Below are 26,657 nucleotides of genomic sequence, written 5' to 3' on the forward strand. Positions count from 1 at the left end.
TCTTCAGCTTGAAAATTCTAAAATTATTTGCCTTGCATAAAATGAAAGAAACAAAACACACCACTATCCCCATAAAATTCCTTCTCTGGTGAGAATGAGGGGAAAAAAGGAGAACCACCTACAAGAATTATTGGTAAAAACACACATAGAATTCACTATAAAACACAAGCATGTGCTGTGCTTCAGATGCCTTGTTTAGGAATGTTTAGTTCTAAATGCTAGACATAAATCAACATATGTTCTGGAATTTTCATGATGAAATCTCTCACTGTGCATCAAAGTAAGAGAAATAGAAAGTTCTGAACAGGAGCATGTATTGTCCTAACAATCTTGTGGCCCCAATATTCATCATAATAAAAATTTTTCTGCCTTGGTATTATTATGGATAGTAATTATTATGGATAATAAAAATGATGGTGTATTAGTCAAGATCGGCTAGCTTATACTCTGACAATAAACAATTTCAAAATAAAAAAGACCATTAGTACTCATTGTTCAGCGATTTAAATCTCACAAGTAGAATCAGCCTCTTGATGGGGGATTTTTCCATTATAAAGCTGGTGCTACGATCTGAATTCTGCAAATTGGGGCATTTATTAGTTAGTGATCATATGGGATTGGTCTATGGAAGGATGCATGCTGAAGTCAGTTCTTTAGGGCTACATCTTGCCTAAACTCAGTTTAGCATGGCTGGTGTTACAACCCTCAATTCCTTTCTGCACAGGGGAATAAGTAATTTCTGATATAACTGCTGCCTTTCACACAAAGGTGGGACTCTTGCTAAGCTGCTAGAGTGCAGTCAACCTTGCCACAAAGACTATGCAGATGACTTCAGTGTTCTCAATTCCTCCCTTGGTTGAAGATCACATTCACGCCCATTTCACCCATTCAAGGACTTTCAGGTGCAAATTTTGCAAGAAAAAGCTCCTCAGATTTCCCAAGAATCATCTCATTAGAAAGGAGTTTGGAATGTGATTCTGTCTGGATGCTATTTCTGTGATACCTTGAAAACTTTGTTCCTACAAAATTATTTAAGCATTTGAGCACAAAAATAAACAAATGTCCTTGAATTTATTATCCCATATGGGCTTGCCAACTGCTACAGTGAGACTTGTGGAGATGATAAGTCCCCTGTGAGTGAGGCACTTAAGCTGCAGGACCCATATGTTGTGCCTGATTGTAATGCAGAGAAAGTTCTTTGGAAACTATGACCTTAACCAAGCTTTGAATAGCTGACCAAGATAAAGCCATCAGAGATGTCCTAAGGGTTGCCATTCATAGAGGGTCATCAAAAGTCTTTGGCCTCATGCACTTTGTGCCACCCTCCTCACTAACATTCTATTCATGATATTAGTCTTTTTGAGACCTCCCAAATGGTGCTGATCTAATTCATTTCTGCAAACAGACTTCAGATGTTATGAGGTGTCTGTCAGATGAGGCTCAGGGTACCAAGCATTGTTTTTGCTTGCCATATTGATCACTGTTAAAGGTGTATCTGAAAGTAAGTCTTGATAGTCCCTAGCAATCAAAAGTGTTTCCTCAAGTCCTAATTTTTTAGGTGTTTTTCCCTATACCTTCTGAGTCTCTTACTTCAGGCTGCTATCACAAAATGCCATAGACTAGGTGCCTTATAAACAAAAGCCATTTCTTACCGTTGTGGAGGCTGGAAGTCCAAAGTCAAGGTGCCTGCAGATTCCGTGTCTGGAGAGGGCCCTCTTTCTGGTTTGTAGATGGTCTTGTCATTGTCCTTACATGGCACTCAGGTCGGGGGGATGGTGGAGGCAGAGTGTTTGTCTCTGTTCTTTTATAATGCTGTAAATCCCATCATACAGGCCCCATCCTCATGACCTAATCCAACTCTAATTACCTCCCAAAGACCCCACTTCCAAATACCATTACACTGGGGATTGGGGCTTCATTATGGAAATTTTGGGAGTGGAGGACACAAATGTTCAGTCCCTAGCAATCTCACTAGGACAACAAAGTGAGACAAATAATTGTTCTGTAGAGCTTCTTAGAATAACACCAATACAGTCTCCCAAAAGAGAGAAAGAAGATCAATAATAGGGGTTCTAGGAAATTGCTTTCAGACCTTGGGCTAATTTTATGAAATGATTTTGAGAAAAGGAAGGGCAAAGTGAGTAATAGATTTTAGCAACAGTCATGAGAGTGGGAGTTGAGAGGGCGGTGTCTGTTTTGTTGTTCTTTGTCCATAGCGTCTCACCTATAACCTGGCCCGTGGAAAATGTTCAAAAAATAAGTTTTGTATAAATGAATTGATCATTAGCTGGAGTGGTTTTATAGCAATAAGAATTACCTTGTTGAAGAATTGGTTCTTCTTTGCCTTTAAATGTCTTCAGGTTTGGGCTCCATTCTTGTAGCTAGCTGCTGACTATTGGTTTACCCCATGTAAAGTGAGTAAAGGGTTGAGGGTTTTTTCTTATCCTTAGGCTATCAATCACCTGCTTCTGGGGCTCTCACAGTTAAAAGAACTCTTTAAAGTTGGCTGTGCTGGAAGCTACCCATTATACCAGGCTGAAGTGTCTACGGGAGGCATGTTCTTCGTTTTTTGTCTAAAATTGAGGGTTTTGGGGAATTTGCTCAATCATCGCTAGGCCTAACTCAAGTCTCAGTAACCCGGGAACCTGTGAGCTATTACAGAAGATGCATCTGTAGTATTTACTGAGTGCATGGATGGGTGGTTTACAGACTTCTCCTCAACAAATAGCAGGGCTGTAATAGCAAGTGACAGGGAGCTTCTGGCAGAGGTAGAGATTGAAGGGCAGGTGGTTGGCCTGTTGTCTCTAGGAAATGAACTCCCAGCTCAGGCGCCTAGGACATGGGACTTCGGATTTTTAAACTGGGACTAGTTGGGTCACCCAGTGCTGAAACCTTGGCCCTCTGCCGACAGGCTAAGGGGCTTCCTGGTGTAGCTCTCCCTTCTCAGCTGTCTCAGCCATGTCCTTCCCATGCTCTGAGACACCACCAGCAGCAACAGTTTGGGGATCATGTGAAAGAAAAGTAATAAATACCTATTCTGTTTGGTCACATCTAATTGCTCATTTTCATCATATTTACAAGGAAGAATACGCTTACAGGGCCTGAAGCTACCACTCAGTGACTTCAGGATTCAACGTGTCTTTCTGCAGGGGTCAGGGAGTCACGCTGCTCTGCCTCACAGCACAGCTAGGAAGAATCTGTCTGTGTCTATTAAACTACAGGGAGAGCACCATTTGAAATCTCCCCTGCCCCGGAGGATGTTGTCCAAACATAAGTGGTGTCCCAGAGTTTTCTCTAACTCTCCAGCCCAAGTCCCTCTTACAGCCCAGGGAAGCCTGGGGCTCACCTATCTCGTGAAAATGTGCTGTATTGTTGGTGTCCCAGCCAAGGTACCCCAAGCATAATGGGGTAACTCCAGATTGGGTCACTAAGCCCATCTCCCACTACACAACGGCCACATTTCCCTCCCTCCCTCAGTTAGTTCTGGGGAGGAGGAAGTGATGAGGGCTGGTGAGGCTTCTCCAGAACAAGATGGAGATGCAACTCTAAAACCAGGTAGAGCGGGAGGCATGGGGGAAAGGGCTGTGATACCACAGAGGACGTAGAAATTTTTTTCCATCACCACACATAAGAAAGAAGAAAAGCTGCTAGATTTTTAAGTTTCAGTTTTGGAGTAGTATCAAAAAGGACCATCAAGCTGGAGATATTTATTTAGATAAGAATGCTGGTCTAATTTATCATTATTTTCAACTTCTCTTGCTTGTAGTTATAATTAGTGATAAGTAATATTTTAAGTGTTTTTTAATGGTTTTTGGAAATATTGTATACAGACGTTTAAAGTTGTATACAAATTGAATTAGGGAAAATGGAATCTCACTTTCCTGTTTGTATGTGTTATTGAAAAATATTATTTTAATTTTACATCAGATATCTTGATACCTCACTGGTATTAGGCTGAACCATACGAAATTGCTGTTTTTGTTGATCAAAATGATTAAATATTAGTTACTTCATATAGCTCATTGTAACATATTTATACCCTGGGTCTTTATAACCAGAGACAAGTGGATTAATCTATGAAGCTATTAAAAAATTCTATAGTAAATATATTTATAAACTGAAGAATCTGCTTTAACGTGAGCTACTTTCCCTGCACTATCAGTTTTTGCAAGTTTACATTTTTTTCCTGCAAAAAGAGGCAAAATTAATTTTAAAAATCTAAAGCCATTGGAAGGTACCAGAAGATGGGACGTTTCAAAGAAGGAATTAAATTGAAGGTAGAAGGCATCCTATTTCCTACATTGACTTCAACCCCCACCACCTTCTGCAATGATTCTGAAGGCGATCCTTGCTCAAAGGTGACCACCTCAGTATTGTGGTCATGGGAAAAAACGGAAAAGGGATCAGCATTCTTTAGCTTCTTTTATGGCTTTATTTCAGCTGGGTTTTCAAATTTTACTTGAGTAGATAGCTTTATTTGGCTCAGAATGAGTCAAAGTGGTTTTTTGGTGAATGTTTCCTTTACCTTCATAAGCACTTTCTTTAAAGTTCCAGGTGAAACCCCCAGCATGGTGGACACTGTGTCGTGATGTCATTGCAGGTGCTCTATTTGAGAAGCCATCCATGGTTTCTTCAGTTCTAGAAATGCTTCAGATTGATAACATTACTATGCTCATAGGTTTTATGTTGTTTTGAAATTAAATTAATATAGAAAGGAACCATTTGAGGGTGGTGACCCAGCATTGTGCCTCAAAAAAAAAAAAAAAAAAAAAACCTCTGGTTTTTATGATTAGGAGGCAATTTTTTTTTATTCAACTAGTTTTGACTCTTACGGAAATAAAACATCGCCACTATGAACCGATTTATGAGCTGTCAGGTGATCTTATGTGTTGTATACATATAACACACGCATCTAGGAGCTGTTTTAAAAATCTTGACAGTTGTACATTCAATTTGTGTAATGCTAGCCCTACTGTAAAATACTCTAGTTTTTTTGTTGGGACAGAACCACACCTAAGTGAAACTTGCAGCTAGCTGCCCATCTGCCCATGAATAGTTTACTACCTATTTATGTATTTATTTATTTTTCAGACAGGGTCTCACTCTGTCAGCCACCCCGGCTGGAGTGCAGTGGCACAATCATAGCCCACTGCAGCCTTGACCACCTGGGCTCAAGCCATCCTTCTGCTTCAGCTTCCCCAGTAGCTGGGACTACAGGTGTGTGCCACCATGCCCCACTGGTAGGGGTCTCACTATGTAGTGCAGGTTGGTCTCGAACTTCTGGCCTTGAAAAATCATACTGCCTTGGCCTCCCAAGTTGCTTGGATTATAGGTGAGAGCTACCACGCCCAGCCTAAGACTTTGCTTCCTTGTGGAAAAACTCCCTGGAAGGGAATCCCATATTAAATAGCAGGTGCTAAATAGAAACCTAGTGTTTGACTGAGTGATAACATTTTCTATAGTTTTTTTTTTATTTATACTGAAATTTAGAAAGGGCATATTATTCAGTTTTGTTCTTCAAATCATCCTTGACTCCTCTCTCTCACACTCACACGTGGTATGGTAAATTCTGTCTGCTCTACCTTCAAAATGTACCCACCTTCTTTTCACTAATTCCCTTGCTGCCATCCTGGCCTGAGCCAGGTTCTCTTTCACCTGGATGACTGGTCTCTTCTCATCCTGGCTTGTTCCCCACACTGACCCCTCTCCGTAGCCTGTTCTGCACTCAGCACCGAAAGTGACTGACTAAGTGTAAGTCAGCTCCTGAGCCTCCCTGCTCAGAGCCCTCCAAGGGGTCCTCATCTGACTCCGAGTAAAAGCCAGAGTCTTTACCGTGACCCACCAGGCCTGTGTGATCTGACTCCTTTTTGCGTGACCTCATCTCTAGCTCACTGGGCTTAGTCACACTGGCTTCCTCGCTGCTCTGCTGTCATCCTGGGGTCTTTGCTGTGGCTGCTTCCTCTCCCAGTAATGCTCTGCCTTCCCCCACTCATCCACATGGCTAAATCTCTCATTTCCTTAGTTTTTGCTCATTTATAAAGCTAGATTTCTTATTAACATTAACCCCTACTCCGTTCTCTATTTTTGCTTTTTCCACAGCACTTACCATCCTTTAATATATGGTATAATTTATTTATCATGTTTAGCGTTTACTGCCTCTCTAGAATGTAAGTGCCATAGTGGTGGCAGTTTTGTTTTATTTACTGATGTTCACCAAGCACTTAGAAAAGTGCCTCATTCATAGTAGTGATTCAGTAAATATTTGCTGAATAAATGAACGCCCATTCAAGGGTGGTGTGGTGGGTGAACCCTTATTGTCCCTTGACCTTGGATGCCTGTTTTAAAAAATCATGTTTAACAAATCCTAAAGCCATTCTTTTATGGTATGGGTTTCAGACTTCACATTTTACATATCTACTCATGAGATAAGAGTCAAAAGAAAGTTTTTTAAAAAATAGTATTTGTCAAAACCCATTCTGATTGTTTTTTCTTATAATGACAGATTAGTCTCTGCCAACTCATTCCAGAAGCTTCCATTTGATCCTCAGAGGTTTTTAATTGGCACGAGGCTCTTTTCAGGAAAGGGCCACTTTAACATCTATGGAAAAATAATCATGTACTTTTAATTCCACTTATCTGAAACCAACTAGTAAACCCAAAGAAAACACTGGGTGTTTTAATTTTTTGAAGTGGCTTGAATTGTCCCGAGGTCATGGCATCCAGTGAATTCACTTCTTTGTCTTTCCTGTCTGGCCGTTTTTGTGCCTTCTGGGTGTGAACAACTCAAGCGGTTTGCCATGTGCCAAACGAGCTGCTGCCTCTTCTCCTTTCCAGTGGTGTGGTCCAGGTCCACTTTGCAGACTGAGTTCTTTTCTCTCTGCAGGTGCCTTCTACTTCTAGCTAGTTATCTTGTGCTTCTCTTCCCAGCCTGTTTATCTAAATGAGTTTCTTTTCCTCCAGCCCAGCTGCCTCCTGAAGGTACAGGAAACCCCCAATGAAACCATCAGTTCTGCCTCTGATGGTTTGCCTGTCCTTTGCCTCAGACGCTGAGACCTCGGTGCCCTGGCCACAGTGACCCTTTTATTTGCTTTCCTGCTACTTCCCTACCTGTTGTTTTATTTTTTACTTATTATTATTATTTTTTGAGATGGAGTCTTGCTCTGTCACCCAGGCTGGAGTGCAGTGGCGTGATCTCAGCTTACTGCAAACTTCACCTTCTGGGTTCAGGCGATTCTCCTGCCTCAGCCTCCCTGAGGGATTACAGGTGCCTACCAGCAGCCTGGATAATTTTTGTATTTTTTTTTTTAGTAGAGACAGCGTTTTACCATGTCTGCCAGGCTGGTCTCAAACTCCTGACCTCAAGTGATCTGTCCGCCTCGGCCTCCCAAAGTCCTGGGATTACAGGCATGAGCACCATGCCCGGCCTACTTGTCACTTTAAAACACAGCCATGCCTCCACCCACTGCCGTGCTCTCTCTTCAAGAAACACCAGCACCACTTCCTGCTCTAAAACATTTGCACACCCCTGCTGAGGACCCTAATGACACTGTCTGTGTACCTCCTTTATCACAGACACTTACTCTTCTGTCTTCTGTTTTCGTGGTGTGCGTTGCTTCATTTCAAGGACATAACTATGTAAACTTCCATGCCAGACTGTAAACCCTCTGAGGGTGAGGATTACGTTATATCTGACCCTATGTGTAAAACTTTGCTGTGTATGGGTTCAGTAAGTATTTCATAGGACCGTGAAACATTACTGGTTGAATGGGCTCTGGAAATAAAACTACTGTATAGGCCAGAGTTCTAGAACTGTCCAGATTTTTAAACATTCTGTCCTTTTATCTTCTGAAAATTATAGTTGTATTTTTCCACTGATAGAAACTAAGTTTTAGTTGGAAAATGATAATTTCCGTAGGCAAATATCATCCTATAGTTTAACCCTTCACATGAGTGAATTGTGATTGAAAGAAGATTCAAGGGTGGGTTGTCCATGTTCCTCTTACTATTCTCCATGTGTTTTACATGAAGGCATTTTGCGTTCATTTGGGAATTATTCTTATAGGTCTCTCAGTTTTAATACAAAATGGGTTATAAATATGGCTCTGGTAGTGAATCTCTCAAACTAGAAGATTTCTCCCAGCCACAATTCAGTTACATCTAGAAGATAACATTCACACATTTCTTCATTCATTTCAGCAAAGAGTGACTGTTATGTGCCAGGTATATAATATGAATTGATCAGACACAAGTCCCTGCTTTCGTGGAGCTTACATTCCAGGGAGTGGAGACAGATGAACAAAAAATAAAATGAAAAGTGTGCCAGATGGTAATGTGTGATGCAGAGAAATTAGGCAGGGGAGGAAGGATGGAAAGCCAGGGAAATTGTAATTTAAAATAAGGTGATTGGCAGGGGCCTGAAGGTGGTGAAATAATTAGCCCTATAGGTAACAATGGGAAGAACATTATAGGCGGATGGAACAATGGCACTGTGTGGGAGTCACTTGTCATGTGCGAGGAACAGCAAGGACATCCTTCTTCAACTTGGAGAGGGTTGGGGAGTAGGACTGGTTGATTCAGAGAGGTGGAGGGGAATTCAGACCACTTCAATTTCTTTTCAGCCTCGACACTAGTGACATTCTGGGTTGGTTAATTGTTCATTGTGGAGGGCTGTCATATAGTGACATTCTGGGTTGGTTAACTGTTCATTGTGGAGGGCTGTCATACAGTGACATTCTGGGTTGGTTAACTGTTCATTGTGGAGGGCTGTCATATAGTGACATTCTGGGTTGGTTAACTGTTCATTGTGGAGGGCTGTCATATAGTGACATTCTGGGTTGGTTAAGTGTTCATTGTGGAGGGCTGTCATATAGTGACATTCTGGGTTGGTTAACTGTTCATTGTGGAGGGCTGTCATATAGTGACATTCTGGGTTGGTTAACTGTTCACTGTGGAGGGCTGTCATATAGTGACATTCTGGGTTGGTTAATTGTTCACTGTGGAGGGCTGTCATATAGTGACATTCTGGGTTGGTTAATTGTTCATTGTGGAGGGCTGTCATATAGTGACATTCTGGGTTGGTTAACTGTTCATTGTGGAGAGCTGTCATATAGTGACATTCTGGGTTGGTTAACTGTTCATTGTGGAGGGCTGTCATATAGTGACATTCTGGGTTGGTTAACTGTTCATTGTGGAGGGCTGTCATATAGTGACATTCTGGGTTGGTTAACTGTTCATTGTGGAGGGCTGTCCTATAGTGACATTCTGGGTTGGTTAACTGTTCATTGTGGAGGGCTGTCCTATAGTGACATTCTGGGTTGGTTAACTGTTCATTGTGGAGGGCTGTCATATAGTGACATTCTGGGTTGGTTAACTGTTCATTGTGGAGGGCTGTCCTATAGTGACATTCTGGGTTGGTTAATTGTTCATTGTGGAGGGCTGTCATATAGTGACATTCTGGGTTGGTTAACTGTTCATTGTGGAGGGCTGTCATATAGTGACATTCTGGGTTGGTTAACTGTTCATTGTGGAGGGCTGTCATATAGTGACATTCTGGGTTGGTTAACTGTTCATTGTGGAGGGCTGTCCTATAGTGACATTCTGGGTTGGTTAATTGTTCATTGTGGAGGGCTGTCATATAGTGACATTCTGGGTTGGTTAACTGTTCATTGTGGAGGGCTGTCATATGCACTGTAGGATGCTTAGCAGCATCCCCGGACTCCACCCACTAGATGCCAGGAGCATACTGTCTCAGTCCATTTATGCTGCTGTAACAGAATACCACAGACTGGGCGATTTATAAACAACAGAAAATTATTTCTCATAATTCTGGAGGCTGAGAAGTCCAAGATCCAGGTGCCAGTAGACTAAGTGTCTGTGAAGCTCTCTGCTTCATGATGATGCCTTGTTGCTCCATCTTCATATGGCAGAAGGTAGAAGGGCAAAAGGACCTGGCTAGTTTGCGCTAGCCCCTTTATAAGGCACTAATCCCATTAATGAGGATAGACCCATCATGGCTCAGTCACCTCCTAAAGGCCCCACTTCTTAATACTGTTACACTAGGGATTAGGTGTCAACATGAATTTTGGACACAAACTTTTAAACCATAGAGCACACCTTCTCCCCCACCCCCGAGGTGTGACAACTAACAGTGTCTCCAGACATTGGCAAATGTCCTCGGAGGCACAAACTCACATTTGGTTGAGAACCACTGCTTCACACCAAAGTAAGGACTTTGTTAATTTGAGTGGTTCTTTCATTTTAAGGAAAGTCCTCTGGCTGGCTGAAGGGGAACAAAGATGGGACCAGGGAAGAAAATTAGCACATGGCCATTTGGGAGGTGAGGATACCTAGAAGCTGACTGGGGCTGGCTGGCGATATGGTTTGGCTCTGTGTCCCCACCCAACTCTCATCTCAAATTGTAATCCCCACGTGTCAAGGGAGGGAGGTGATTGGATTGTGGGAATGGTTTCCCCCGTGCTATTCTCATGATAGTGAGTTCTCACAAGATCTTATAAGGTGCTCTTGTGCCTTCCCTCACACTTCTCTCTCCTGCCACCATGTGAAAAAGGTCCTTGCTTCCCCTTTGCCTTCTGCCATGATTGTAAATTTCCTGAGGCCTCCCCAATCATATGGACCTGTAAGTCAATTTGTAAACCTCTTTTCTTTATAAATTACCCAGTCTCAGGCAGCTCTTTTTAGCAGTGTGAGAACAGACTAATAGAGCTGGGGTTGGTCAGGAGTGAATCAGATTTTGGATATTTGGAATGATTAACCATCAGGATTTGCTGACAGACTGGAGACCAGGTATAAAGAAGGAGTCAAAAATAACTACGAGGATGTGGGCCTGGGCAGGGAGGATGCAGGCAAGGAGCAGGTTCCTGGGGACATTGAGAGCTTGGTTTGAACATTTTGTATTTGAGAATATTGATTATTCTCTGTATTCTCCCTCACAATAACCCTGAGAGGTGGGTATGCTCTCCTTTTACAATAAGAGGACCCTGAAGCTCATGGAGCTTGGTTAATTGCCCAAGGTCACACAATCTGTAAAAGACAGAAAGGGACTTAAATCCAGACATGTCTAACTACTAACCCCCTCCTCCTTGATATACTTTGAAGTGATTTTGTATGGTTTAGAAGCCTCCAGTATGAAGTAATAGTATAGTATTTTATACCCTGCAGAGTTTAATTCAGTAGACTAATTTTTCATGAAATGCAGTTCTGCTAAATACTAACATTTCAAAGCAGAGACAGTTGTTTCTTTTGCATTTTATAGCAGGATAGAACACAAACATGAACCTTAGGAAGTATTTTGCATACAGTAGTAAAATAAATTACATGGAATATCAGGGCTATGGTTTGAATGTGTGTCTCCGTCCAAAATTCATACATTGGAACTTAAACACTGCTGTGTGGTGATGGGACTAAGAGATGGGATCTTTAAGAAGTGATCTTTAGGACTAGTGACCTTATAAAAGGGCTGGAGGGAACTAGATAGGCATTTTTTTTTTTTTTTTTTTTTTTTTTTTGCTTTCCACCGTGTAGGGACACAGTGTTCAAGGGGCCCTCTTAGAAGCAGAGACCAGGTCCTCACTAAACACTGAATCTGCTGGTAACTTGATCTTGGACTTTGCAGCCTCCAGAACTGTGAGAAATAAATTTCTATTATTTATAACTTACCCAGTCTGTGCTATTTTATTATAGAATCATGAACAGACTAACACAATCAGTGGTTAGTTGGATTTTAAGTGAGTTCTAAGTTGCTATTTCTCCATCTGTCCTGTTGGTACCTAGTCCTACCAGTTATATGGCAAATCAATGGTCTGTGGTCAGTTTTGTTTGGAAATATACCCCGAGTCCCTCTGCTAGGGATCTATAATACACAGACTACTTCTCCCTTCTCCCCTCCAGCACCTCCAAAATATATTAAGCATCTCACAGGTACAGGTGGTGCTAAACCATTTTTCCATCTCGAATATATTTCTATAGGTCTGCTATGGTCATGGCTATGTCCAGATATTAATTCATTCTGTATGTTTTTTTTTTTTTTTAAATATACACATCCTTAGAGCTTAGGTATGATGCTAGTAGGCTATTTTGCTCCTCTGTCATTTTTCTGCCAAACCCTTCTGACTTTTTAGCTGTGCTACCACCAGACCACTGAGTGATTAACGTGAATGGATTTTCTTGAAATAGATCCTGAGACCTTTTGCATCTAAAAGCAGGTTCCCTATCTCTTTCAGCTATATAATTGTGTATTTAAACAGTGGGACTCAACAAGGTAATTGCAGTCTTGGAGTTCCTAGCAGAGTGAGCCATCGAGCCGGCAGTAGGGAGCTGTGTGCCATGATTGATTCCATGGGGGTTTGGGAAATTTGAGGTGATATGAGCCGAACTGCTCTGAAGAGTTGCCCACAGGTATCTCTGCTGTTACACCTTGTATAGTTTTGTGATGACTTAACCTAATATAAAAGATCACACTGTCATTTCTCTTTGAGAATAATCAGTGCCAAGGGAGGTTTCTTAGGAGGTCTTTGGCACTTTATTCTTGATGAGTTTTTGGCAGGGCCAGGTTCATGAATGTGTGACCTGTGGAATTGCACAGGGTTCTAGACTCAGAAAGGTCCTGCCTGTGTTTTGTGTTTGGTTTAAAGATAGCTGTCAGAGTCTTGAATTTTTTTTTCTTTTTTTTTTTTTTTGAGATAGGGTCCTGCTGTGTCACCCAGGCTGGAGTGCAGTGGTGTGATCACCGTTCACTGTAGCCTCGTCCTCCCAGGGTCTCCATAGGGAGGCCCTGTCTCTACAAAAACAAACAAAAAAATTAGCTGGGCATGGTGGTGCACACCTTTAGTACCAGCAAGTCAGGAGTCTGAGGTGGGAGGATTGCTTGAGCCTGGGAGGTTGAGGCTACAGTGAACTGCACTCCAGTCTGAGTGACATAGCAGGACCCTATCTCAACAAAAAAAGAAAAAAAAATGTCAAGACAGTAATAGCAGAGCTTTAATTCAAACACAGAGCCTTTATATGCTATAGCTCAGGTTGGAGCACCTATCCGTTAATTAGCAGTTTTGCCCAAAAGGGGCCTATGCAGATCTCAGGCCCCTCTCAGAATCTATGTTCTAGTTGGAAACAAGGGCTAATCATCTGTATGTAAAACAAGCTTTCAGGCAAGATGCAAAATGCTTCTTGATCAGCAGCATTGCCAAGGTGAAAGTTAACTATGCATGTTCACTCATCATTCAACAAATATTTATTGAGCACCTACCATGTGCTGGGCACTGTGCTAGGAGCTGGGATGGACGCTATCTTGGGTTCCTTGTGAAGCAGACGCCATGACAAAGATTTGAGTGCAAGTGACTTATTGGAAAGATGATCGCAGGAAATACTGGTAGAAGAGTAAGAAAGTGAGACAGAGACATGAAGGAAGCCAATAAATGGTTTGTTTTCACAGAGAAAAACTACAACTATGTGCAACTAGGGCCTAATCCACTGAGGACCAGTGTAGAACATGCCTCGGAATTTTCCTGTAGAAAGACACAGGTTGGTTCCTTTCCCACTAACTCTGATCCATCTGGTTGAGAGCTGCCCAGGGTTATTTCCAGCCTGCCCCCTGTGTCAGAATGAACACAACTCCTCAGCTAGAGAAAGCTCTTAGGCAAAGAATCACAGCATTTGTATTAGAAAGCTGTATGTGAATATTAGATTAGTGGGTGCTAAGCGTGAGGGGATGAAGAGTGACAAGTTGGGGCCACCATTTTGAATAGATTGGTAGGACAGAGCTTTCTGAAGAGGTGACTCTTGAAAAAAGACCTATGTCTTTTTAAAATTTTACTATTTCAAAAATGGGAGTCATGCATCAAGAAAAATAGGATTCTTAAGTCATGTTGTATATAATAGACAAATAATAAACATATATTTTGATCTTTGGGAATGTTTATATTCTTGAAAACATTATAACTTTCAGAGAGTATTTGGCTATTTGGTTGGTAATTTTCTTGACAATCTCTTTTTGAATACTGTGGCATCTTTTCATCTATATTCTAGGTTTTCTCAGTGTTAGACCATTAGACCTCATGATCAGAATATTACAGTTTTCAAAACCAAAGTTACTGTCTTCTTTAAAGTATGGGATATAGTGTCTTTAAGCATGAACTGCTTTTTTTTTTAAAAAAAATTGGAAGCTATCACTCTTTTTATACACATTCATTGTGAACTTGGTGTTTCGTGTTTTTAAACAACTGAATGATTATAAGTAAAGAAATGACTGCCTTGAGTAGGATAGTGAAATAATAGGAAGTGAAATATAAATTTTCACATTAGAAAAAAATGATTCCCACTTCTTTGTTGGGACAAGAATGTGAAGAGTGTTCCTTATGATTAAATGACTCAAAATTGACTCACTTTGTCTAATTAATAGATAGGCCTTACTGTTTAGATGTTTGTATTTTACAAATGTATTTTCCAACACAAAACCACTGGAGGGTGAACTCAGGTAATTTTAGCTACATTTTTTTTTCCTGTAAAACATAGTTTCACATAGCTTTAAAATCAACCTTTTTGGGCCGGGCGCAGTGGCTCATACGTGTAATCCCAGCACTTTGGGAGGACAAGGTGGGTGGATCACAAGGTCAGGAGATCGAGACCATCCTGGCTAAAAAACGGTGAAACCCCTTCTCTACTAAAAATACAAAAAATTAGCCGGGCGTGGTGGCAGGCCAGGCGCCTGTAGTCCCAGCTACTCGGGAGGCTGAGGCAGGAGAATGGTGTGAACCCGGGAGGCGGAGCTTGCAGTGAGTGGAGATTGCGCCACTGCACTCCAGCCTGGGCGACAGAGCAAGACTCCATCTCAAAAAAAAAAAAAAAAAAAAAAAGAACCTTTTTTTAATTTCCTTACTTCAACCCAAATGGATGCATCTGTAAAATTGTATCTCTCATAAATCATTCTAATAATATTTGCGGTGATTATAAAAGGAAAATACATGGGGCTTGCTAATTATGAGAAGACATTTGTTTGTTTGCTTGCTTAACAGTTACTTCATGCATTGTCCTAATGCTTCTTTGCAGAAATCTTTTAGTAGTTAGTGCCTCTCTTTTTGTGCAGTAAGCAATGGATCAGACTGTAAGCTTTTACTTTACTAAGTGAGGCGATGGCAAGATTTTAAGACCAAATTAGGAAGTTTGGTTTTTCTCTGGAAACTATTTCATTTTTAGTCCAATTTTAGTCTAGAAAAATAGGGTTACAAACAAAGCCTAATAATTCATTGCTTAACAGAAGTTAAATGAAAAACTGCAGTTTGCATCAACTTCCTGGTTTTTCGCAAAATCATCCCGCATATTCTTTTTAGCTTTGTGTGGAACTGGGGCTTATCACACTTTAATGTGGATATGAGTCACCTGGAGTTGGTGTTAAAATGTAGATTCTGCACGTCCAACAAGCATCCAGATGATGCAGATGCTGCTGGTCTGTGGGCACCTTTGAGGAGCAAGGTTTCTGTGTTGGTTAATTTTATACGTCAACCTGACTCGGCTAAGGGTTGCTCGATAGTTGGTAAAACATTATTTCTGGCTGTGTCTGTAAGGATGTTTCTAGAAGAGATTAGCATTTGAATTGGTAGACAGAGTAGAAAACAGTGTCTTCACCAGTGCAGGTGGGTATCATCAGCAGTTCATTGAGGGGGTGAATAGAAGACAAGTGCAGAAATGGTGAATTCTTCTCTTTCTGCTTGAGCTTAGACATCCATCATCTCCTGCTCTGCCCTTGGACATCGGTGCTCCTGGTTCTTGGGCTTTTTGACTCAGGCTGGGATCCCATCAATCCTCCTGACCTCCTATCTCAGGCCTTTGGACTCTTATTGAATTACACCACCAACTTTCCCGGCTCTCCAACAGATTGTGGGACTTCTTGGCCTCCCTAACTGCATGAGCCAATTCTTAGAATAAATCTCAGTTTATATATATCTCTCTATATCCTACTGGTTCTGTTTCTCTAGAGAACCCTGACTAATACAGTCTCAGACAACTGGCTTCAGGATTCATCTTGCCTAACTGTGGGGGCAAAACCATGCCTGGGGAGGGGTGGACTGCTTTGAAAAACAAAGAGGTTTTGGAGATAAAGTTAGCCTGAAAATTTTTCTGATTCAGACAACCTTGCATCAGAAAAATTTTGATGAGCCTTGCTTAGGAGTGCAAAAAGCAGACGTTACAGTTTTAAGCAGAAAGGGCTCTTGATGTTAAGTAAAGGACTGGTAGAGATTACAGAAGAATTTCAGGTACTGTAGTAATTACAGAGGCAGAACTCTTTTCTCCTTAGCAACAGTCTATGTGTGGGGAGCAGAAGCTTGTTATAGCAGAGGTCACTACAGAGAAATCTGTGTGTGCAGGCAGAGTCAAAAGCAATTGAAACAAGTTTGCACTAATGACTTTGGGGACCAGAGTGCCCTGACAATGGAATAGGAGGGCCATATTATCAGGGGTGACCTCTAATTTGCAATTAAAATGACTTCTGGGCATGTAAATGGACAACTGGGTGGGAGGATTGTGTAATGTGGGTGGCACTCAGTGAATTTCTTTATCTTAGACTTTGATGAAGGAAAGTTATTCCCCTGCTCCTTGCAAGCTCGATAGTGACAGATGGTTGTTGCTTCCTTGCTGGTTTCTGTTCCTAGAGGAATAAAGTAGGAATTGGTGTTCAGAATTCAGGCTATGGAAAGATACTGATGTTTGGGTGGACAATTTAGGTATAAGAGGACATTGGCTGCTGTTACTCAACCAAGGCAAAGAAGGGTTGTGGAAAGTCATGAAGATTAGGGGTAGCCAAAACTACTCATGTGATCCTTGAGCAGGTTATTAACCTCTTCTAGCATCAGGTTAGTCTGCTTTCATGAGGGTAATAAGGCCTATCTTTGGTGGGTTGGAGATTTTATTTATGAGGGGCCTAGCAGAATATTTAGTACAAAGGTTCTCAGTAAGCGGAGGTGTTATTTTAGAAATTTATCTTGAGGTATAGCTCATGATTAGATTTCAAGATGAGAGCTAGAGTTCTGAATTGAATTTAAACTTGAATTTCATCAATACAGTATAGCGACAAAGCCCAGAGGGAATATAAGAGATGTAGGCAATGTAAAATGCAAGAAAGCAAGATGCTCAGTGTAGTAAGAAAACTGGTAGATTAATATTTTCCACAAATGTGACAAAATACAAATTTATTTACAGAGCTCTTGGCACATTAATGGGTGAAATGCCTGGGGCTGTAATGATTAGAGGAGAGTTAAATTCTTGTAATAACCAGAACTTAGAGAATTATTAGATGCCTCCAGGTAAACGACCATGTGGGCCTCTCCAGTTGTCTTTCTTCTGATCACCTGGTTGTAACAGAGAGATTTTATTATTGTCAACCCATAACTCACTGCCTACCCATTAAGCAATTCCACAGATTCTTTCCTAGGACCTGTGCTGTCCAATATGGGCACCACTTGCTGCAATATGGCTATTTTGCACTCACCACGTAGCCAGTTCAAGTTGAGATGTGTCTGCAAGTATAAAATACACATCAGATTTCAAAGACTTAGTATGAAAAAATAATGTAAAATATCTCATTAATTTTTGTGTAATATATGGAATACATGTTGAAATAATATTTAGAATATAGCGGATTAATGAAAGATATTAATATTAAAAATTGGTTTTACCTTGTCGAATGTGGCAACTAAAAAATTTAAGTTATGCATATAGTTCACATTTTATTTTTATTGAATATTGCTGCCTAGACCACCCTGGGACCTGTATAGGAATTTTCTGGAGAGGCTTAAATCAAACTCCCTTGTTGCCAAACAGAAATAAAACTAAACCAGGCCGGGCGCGGTGGCGCATGCCTGTAATCCCAGCACTTTGGGAGGCTGAGGTTGGTGGATCACCTGAGATCAGAAGTTTGAGACCAACCTGGCCAACATGGTGAAACCCCGTTTCTACTAAAATACAAAAATTAGCTGGGCATGGTGGTGGGCATCTGTAATCCCAGCTACTTGGGAGGCTGAGGCAGGAGAATTGCTGGAACCTGGGAGGCAGAGGTTGCAGTGAGCCGAGATTGTGCCATTGCACTCCAGCCTGGGCAACAAGAGCAAAACTCCATCTCAAAAATAAAAAAATAAAAAATAAAAAAAAAAACAAAATCTTATGCTGATTCAGGAGAACTTCTGAGCTGAGAACCATTGTCATTTCTCAACAAAAGGACTCTGCATGAGCAAGTTAACTGAATTCCTGTGGTAAACATGTTAGGTCCCTCTAGGTGTAGTCTCAGAGATATAACTAAGGTTTTTATATCATTTATACTTAGCTTTTTCTTAACTTTGTTTTAAGTCAGTATTTGCCAACTATTATCTAGAAAGCAATGTTTTTTCTCAAAGGTGTCTGTCACTAGAACACATTCCCCCCCTCTCAAAACAAATACAGTAGAAGAACACTGAAACAAAAGAAAAATCACATAGTGTACTTTTGGTCAACATTTATCTTGCTGTAAAAATAGAAGAAAGAGAAGAAGGTAGGTTGGCATCTATTAAATGGTATTACAATTACTGGTTCTGTTTCTTTGTGGAATATGGGGAATCAACAAAGTAAATTTATTCTTTCTGATCCTAAGTTGTCAGGGAGTTATTGAAAGGGAATTGCAGTCCTATTTCTGCAGCAGAACTAATGTGAAAGGAGAATGGTAAATTAAATAAGGTCAAAATGATTTAGCTAGCTGCTTCAGTCTCCTGAATGATCACATGTAAGATGCAAATAAATGTAGGGCTTTGTGCTATTAAATAGAGTTATGGTTTTTATCTTGGAATGGATACTGTGATGTGGCTGAGTAGTCATATTAATAGGATATTTTTGGTCACTCACTTGTCCTTAGATTATCTCAGTTCCAGAGATGGGAATGATTAAGATTGTACCCTACTCATGAGGAATAGAGGAGACAGTGTGTCAAATTGGAATAGAAGAATGAGCAATGAATTCTTTCACCAGCATATCACTGTGTTCCCAAATTTTGATTTACCATTGTATTCTCTTTTTTAAAGGCCACCTATGAAAATAGTAGAGGGCTATTTTGACTCTCATTTAATCTTTGCTGTATCTTCAAAGTTGAGAGGGATATCACATGGCTTGTGATTTCATAGGAGAGGTTTAGGATTTCAGAAGTGCTTGGATAAGGTTGGTCTATACTCTTAACATGGTGTGAGGAGCAGGAAGATAATATTGCCAATGGGGACTCTATTAGTAAGTGTTAATAAATGTTGAAGTACTTTTAAAAGAAATTCCAAAATAGTCTCTAGTCTTTTTTGTGTGTCATTTCTTTTGGAACTATAGGATTCAAAGCTCTGGATTGTAACACTAAATCACCTTGACAAGTCCCTAGAATCATAACTAGGGAAGTACATTGGGTTTGCCTTGGGAAAGAAGGATATAAAAATGGAGGTGTGTTTTTCTTCCTACCCTCCCCATCCCAACAGTGGTGGAAAGTTTCATTTATTCATTCAATAAGCATTTATTAAACAGTGTAGAAACCCCATGTTAGATAACTTTGAGAATAAACCTAAAGGACGGTACGTTGAGTATTTGATTCCAAGTTGGCTTTTTCAATGTTCCCATCACTGATGGAATCCTGAGAACCCTGTTAGCCTAGCACTGACTGTTTCTTTCACTCTTGGATCTCAGATGGTGGGGACACTGAAATCTAGGGGAAGGTTGTCCGGTACCACTTACAATTCCAGTTTCTCTGGTTCTTCGAAATTGTCCTGAATTTCTTTAAAATCATTATTCTTAGTCTTGAAACACTAGGTTATATTCATAACAAATGGTTTTGATCTTAACAGCATCCTTAATTTTCTGAGAGAAATGAACAAAAATTGGTATTCTAAATGCCAGGTCTCCCAGATTTTTATTATTTCAGACAATTGTTGCAGCATGCGAAATTTTTAAAATTACAATTTACTTATTTTGAGTCTTATCTCTTCCTGCATGTTGTTCATGCTCTCCACTGCATTAATCTTCATCTATTTACATTTCAGTCAACCTGTTTATCTGTTGTTAATCCATCTTCTGGCTGATTCCTGTCAATCTCAGCCTACAATAGCTCACTGGGAATATATTACATAAAAGTCATCAAGGGCAGGAGAGAGAGAATGGTATTCTGATTTTGATCTTTACTCAGAATTCTCAATGACTTTCCCTCTGTGATAGCAGCAGATGTTCCCAAAGTTAGTTATTGAAAATGACAGTCTCAGTTTCCCGTTTTTCACTCTTGACTCTCAAAAATGGATACCAGCTACTTAGTATGTCACTGTGTTTTAGCTTCTTAAAGATTCATGTTAAAACTATTCATTGTTTTTCAGACTAAGTGATTGTAGTTTCTTTAACTTTTTCAATGCTGGGTTTGAAATCATTTCCCTTTCTTACACGTCTGAATGCAATCCATCAACCAATGCTGTTGTCTCTGTTTTCAAAATCTGTACTGAATCCAACAGCATTTCCCAATGTTAACTGTTACCGCCTTTGACCACGCCACTGTCATCACTCATTCAGACTCTTGCAGTAGCCTGTTAGCTGGTTTCGGTGCTTTGTTCTTGCCCTGCCGTAGTCAGTTCTCCAAAAGACAAAGTGTTCCTTTAAAACTTAGGTCAGACCAGGCAACTACTGCTCAGAATGTTCTGATTGCTTCCCATTTAATTGAAAATCAGATCCAATCATTGTCTTTTTCTGTGATCTGACTCCCTTTTACCTTTCTGATTTCATCCCTTCTGGTGTCCTCCTCCTTCACTTGCTGTTTTCCAGCTACGTTGGTCTCTTCACCCTTGCAGAATACAGCATTCCCCTCAAGGCCTTTGCATCTGCTGGTCCCACTCCCTGGATTCCTCTTCCTCTCAGTCTTCTTGAGGCTGACTCACTCACTTCTCTCAGGTCTTTGCTCATAAGTCACTTCATGAGTGACACCCTTGCCAAGGCCAGTTATCTCAAGTGGTAACCACTACCCCTCCCCTCCCCCCAGCTTGCTAGGAATGCAATAAATATTTGTTGAATGAGTAAAATAACTATTTTTCATGGAAAGACATTTAATTTCCTGTTCCATCTATGGGAATAGATAAGGAATGCATAAAATGATCCTCAGCAGCAGAAGGCAGGTAAACATGACAACAAAGTGGGAAGAAATCAGACATGGTAAAAATTCCATATCATATATTTAGTTTTCTTAAAGTACAAACAGTAACAGAATAAAAAGTGAATAAGTTGTTTAAAAATGGAAATCTTCCTTGGAACAGCTAATATTTATAATCAGATCATTATTATGCAATTATGTAATGTTACTGGTATAATTTTGTGTTTTCTAAATATTAAATGCTCCTCCCTTTGCAATTAAATTTAAACTATCAATATGCTTGACAAACTGCCTTTTATAATAAAATGTACCTGTGTGTATAGTACTGTATATATATAATTGCATATGCATGTGTTTGCATTATCAATAATGTAGGATTTTTATACTCATAAAAGTTATGATGTATTAGAATTATTTCCTATTGCTAAATGGGAATCTATTGTGATTATTATTATTGGTGTAATATTAATATTGGTAGGTATTAGGCACATATATGCAACCTTGTAGAGGGAATATTTCTTCTGGAATCAGATCTTCTGCATGTTATAACTGTGTAAATTTACTTAACTGTCTGGGCTTCTTGCCTTGTTTTTAAAAAGGACATAATAATACATTACTTATTTAAAGGTAGAAAGGTAGAAATACATGGTACTCTAACATTTGACAGATTGCAAAGAGTCATCATTTTAAAAATCACAATGAGATATTATCACACACCTATGAGCATGGCTAAAATAAGAAGAAAAAAAACTAGATGGTACCAAGTGGGTGAAAATGCAGAGTATCTGGGATTCCCATGCATTGTTGGGAATGCAAAATGGTGCCACCACTTTGAAAGACAGTTGGACAGTTTCTTACAGTGTTAAACATATAATACATATAACCCAGCCATGCCACTTGTGGGTATTTACCTAAGTGATGGAAACTTATGCATAAACCAAAATCTGTACACTAGTGTTTATGGTAGCTTCATGTAGAGTCATCAGAAACTGGAGACAATCCAGGTATCTCTCAACTAGAGAATGAAAAAATAATATCTGGCATATCCATACAATAAAATACTACTCAGCAGTAAAAAGGAACAAATTAGTGATGCATGCACCAACACAGATGAATCCCAAAATACATTACGCTTCCTGAAAGAAGCTGGAGTCAGACTTGGAAGGCTACATACTATATGATTCCATGCAGTAAAGGCAACATTGTAGGAAAAGAATACAGATCAGTGGTTGTGTGGGAGTGGGAAGAGAGACTGACTGTCAAAGGGGCAGCCTGAGGGAGTTTTGAAGTAATAGAATTGTTTTATGTCTTGATTGTGTGGTGGTTACATGGCTGTATGCATTTGCCAAACTCACAGCATTGCACATGAGAGAGTCTATTTTATTGCATGTGAATTAAAAATAAAAATAAATAATTATCTTGATTTTTAAAACCAGTTATACCTCTGATGCCAGGCATTGATGAATCCTAAATGTCCTAGGTGGGTGATCACATCTGCTCTTAGTTCCCCATTTTATTTTACTTTAGTTGCCGTGGTTTCCTGGTGTGGCTTTGTCCTGCTTCAGTTATTATTCATGGCATGATGGACTTTGGCTCTGATGTCAGAGGTAGCAATGGTGGAAAGCTTTCCCACATTCTCCCAGAAGCAGTTTCATATCCTTAGAGGGACCTTGCCAGCTGACTGGTCTAGCTCAGTGGTAGTGGTGCTGACAAAGGCTGGGATCTTGTCCTGCAACTTCGAATTTGTAGATATATCAGCTGCTTTAGTTCCTTTATAAAAACCAAATAGAAATGAATAGGAAACAGAATCAGAGCAGGCTGTTTTTCAAAGAAATTACTCCAGGCTATGCATCTGGGGCCCTTGTTTTCAATATGGTACCTGTCTCAGGGCTCTGACATCAGCAGCTGTGTTCTGGGTCATGAAAAGTTTGCAGACTCCAGCTCCATCAAAAAAACAAAAACAAAAACCAGGTAACTGCTGTATCGCACTGTGTTGTGCCCCAGTGGGCCAGCATATGAGGTAATGTCTCATGGAACAGATGGTTGACCAGTTGTCTTTGGTAAAAAAAAAAAAAAAAATATATATATATATATATATATATGACAAATATAAATACTAATCTAAACATATAATTTATAACTAGAGAACTTTAGGCATTTGGGGGTTCTTGTAAGCTGTACTTACTCTTCTTCTGTTCTCACTTACTGGCTAGTAGATACATTTTATGTTTGTTGAGAATGTGACTAATGTAAAGGTCCTTGAGGTCATGAATCTCTTGTAAAACCAGCCTGTTTCCAGTTTTCTAGACTATTTTGGATCCTCTGTTTTAGGTATATCACCCTGCTTCTATACAGCTGTCTTAAGAGTGCTATAAACCTAGATTGAACAGGAAACCAGCTTCCTACCAGCAGGTTAGAAGTGACTTACAATAAACTAAAATGAGATATTTTTCTCTCTGGCATTATTCTGGAGCAACAGCTCTTGAGTTTCCTATGCTACTATTCTTAGTTTAATTTGCACAGATCATTTTCTCTATATGCATAGTTATGTCAGTGCAGAAATAAAGGAGTGGGAGAGGAATGTAATTGAGTACTCACTCCAGGTTTCAGGAATGTGATAGGCACTTTTCGTGTATTATTCCATTTAACTTCACAACAATGAGTTAGGTAGATAATTTTGCTGCTTTACAAACAAGGAAACTAGGTCCAGGAGAGGTTAATTTACTTATATTCTCAAAGATAGGTTTCTCTCACTCCCAAAACCACTCTATATTCCGAAGGCTCCATTTGGGAATAGTGTTTTTTTTTTTTTTTTTTTTTTTTTTCCCATTTCTTTGTCACTTGCAATGGGGGATGGAGATTGCACTGGTCTTTTGAGATTGAGACCTGGAGCTTCTTCTTAGACCTGGTCTGAGAACCATGTCTGTTCCCTGTTTTACTTTTCAGAGTCCCAAGAGATTTGGCCTAATTTTATGTATTTCTTAAAATCTGCCATTACACACGTTTGATCACTTGGTTCTTTCTCCCCCATGACTGCCTTTAGAGGAAAATTGAGTCCCACAGTTGCGTGGCTCTGAACAGGAAACCCATAAGGCTTTCTTATTTTAATAATTCTACTTCTAATCACCACAGGGAAATAGGAAAGCAAAGAGAAGAAAAAAAAACAAATTAAAAAGATTCAAAATAGTTAAAATCTTAGTCGTTGAGTCGTTGAGCCCAGTTTACATAGTTTCTGAAACTTAGTTCTTATTTCTTAAAAGATACTAAAAGTCTTTTTTTTTTCATAGAGATTACTTTTATTTATCATTGGAACTGTAGTTCAAAGCAGATTCAAGTTGGTACCACTTGTGAAATTTTCCAGTCACTATCCAAGCTCTAAGATTTTTTTTGCGGGGGTGGGGATCGAGTCTTGCTCTGTTGACCAGGCTGGAGTGCAGTGACACAATCTCGGCTCACTGCAAACCTCTGCCTCCTGGGTTCAAGTGATTCTCCTGTCTCAACCTCTTGAGTAGCTGGGATTACAGGCGTGCAGCACCATGCCTGGCTATTTTTTTTTGTATTTTTAGTAGAGACGGGGTTTTGCCATGTTGGTCAGGCTGGTCTTGAACTCCTGACCTCAGGTGATCTGCCTGCTTCAGCCTCCCAAAGTGCTGGGATTACAGGCATGAGCCACCGCGCCCGGCCGCTCTAAGACTTTCATTATGAACCAGTGACGTAAGAAATGTCTAAGAAGTAAAGCTATATGTCATGTTAAAGAGACTGCCACTGGATGGGACTGGGGAATGTATATTAGGCTTAAAGAACTTTTGCCGCCCCGTAATGAAAGCCAGAGCCACGTGTGATCATTGAACATTTGAAATGGGGGTAATTTGAATTGAGATGTGTTGTAGCAGACTATACGTTGGATTCCAAAGACTCAGAATGAAAAAAAAAACCCGAATTTAAAATTTCTGAATAATTTTTATATTGATTACATGTACATTGATTATATTTTAAAATTCTATGTATACTGAGTTAAATAAAATACAGACAGTTCTTGACTTATGATGGTTCTGCTTACAATTTTTTCTCTTAACAATGGTGCAAAAATGGTAACACATCCTTTAGAAATCATACTTCAAATTTTTATATTTTTGCAGGCTAGCATATGTAATGAGTTTCTCTTGCAATGCTGGGCAGTGGCAGTGAGCCACAGCTCCAAGTCAGCTGTGTGACTGCGAGGGTAAACAACCGTGAGATATTCAACGCTTAACTATAAAATAGGCTTTGTGTTAGATGATTTTGCTCCACTGTAGGCCAATGTAAGCATTCGGAGCACATTTAAGGTAGGCTGGGCTAAGCTATGGTGTTTGGCATGTTAGGTATGTTAAATGTATTTTTGACTTACCGTATTTTCAACTTAGGATGGATTTTTCAGGATGTAACCTTATTCTAAATCTAGAGCATCTGTATATTATTAAAATTAAATTTACCTTTTTAACTTTTAATTTTGAGGTAATTACAGAGTCATATGCAGTTGTAAAATATAATACAGAGAAATCTCATATATCCTTTACCCAGTTTTCCCCACTGGTAATATTTTACAAAACAGCAGTACAGTGGCAGAACCATGCAACTGACGTTGATGTAATCCACTGACCTTATTAAGATTTTACCAGTTTTACATGCACTCATTTGTGTGTGTGTGTTTTTAGTTCTATGCAATTTAATCACCTTTGTAAATTCATTATGACACGACCACAGTCAGAAATGGAATTCCATCCCAAGGATCTCTGTGCCACAGCCATCTCCCTTCCTTCTCTCCTCTCTAACCCCTGGGAACCATTAATCTGTTCTTTACCTATATAATTTTGTCATTTCAAGAGTGTTATAGAAATGGAATCACATAGTATGTAACTTTTGAAATGAGGTTTTGTCACTCAGCAAAATTCCCTTGAGATGCATTCAAGTTGTGTTATCAATAGTTATTTCCTTTCTATTGTTGAGTAGTATTTCGTGTTTCTTTTAACCTTTGTAATGATGCCACTAGAAAGCTGAAAATTACATATGTAATTTGCATTTCTGGCTTTCATTGTGTTTCTATTGGACAGCATTGGTTTAAGGGAATGTTTGTTAGAAGTAATTAAAAAGCATATTTCTGTTAAGATTTTCATGGAACTTTAGGTATTCCTGTGTTAAATGGTGTATTTTGTTCTGCTAACTTTAAATCAGGTTATTTGGAAATAAGCAAGGGAGCAGTGGCTTTAAAAAAATCATTTCAAGAGAGTAAAATTATCTGTGTCCCTCCCACATCCCTCCTCCTGCCTTTTTTTTCTTTTTTCTTTTTTTTTTTTTTTTTTTTTTTGGTCAGTTTTTCAGTAAGAAACCCTTTGTATTTCTATCCACAAAAGAAACTTTTCATCAGGTTAGGCAGCAGAGGGGCATCTTGCAACCACTCCCATGGCATTCAGCACACTGGTTTGAGACTAATTAAATGGCTCATATTTATCTGATATTTTCCCTCTTGGGAGCTCCAGAAACTTTTTTC

The 26,657-nt window shown here is 39.8% G+C and overlaps 1 protein-coding gene across 11 annotated transcripts in view, besides 1 other annotated feature; it reads left to right on the forward strand.

Annotated features, from left to right (window-relative positions):
- The window catches only part of PLCB4 (phospholipase C beta 4), a 412,131-nt gene that overhangs the window by 111,171 nt on the left and 274,303 nt on the right, over positions 1–26,657 (forward strand). The gene's annotated exons all lie outside the window — the stretch shown is intronic.
- Positions 382–997: an enhancer, noted in NCBI's record as "OCT4-NANOG hESC enhancer chr20:9160877-9161492 (GRCh37/hg19 assembly coordinates)". NCBI's record gives its function as "activates a minimal SCP1, AML or CMV promoter by ChIP-STARR-seq in naive and primed H9 embryonic stem cells {active_cell/tissue: H9 hESC(naive and primed)}" and the evidence as "EXISTENCE:reporter gene assay evidence [ECO:0000049][PMID:30033119]".

The sequence above is a fragment of the Homo sapiens genome, chromosome 20 (genome assembly GCF_000001405.40).
Source record: "Homo sapiens chromosome 20, GRCh38.p14 Primary Assembly".
In the NCBI taxonomy this organism is placed as follows: Eukaryota; Metazoa; Chordata; class Mammalia; order Primates; family Hominidae; genus Homo; species Homo sapiens.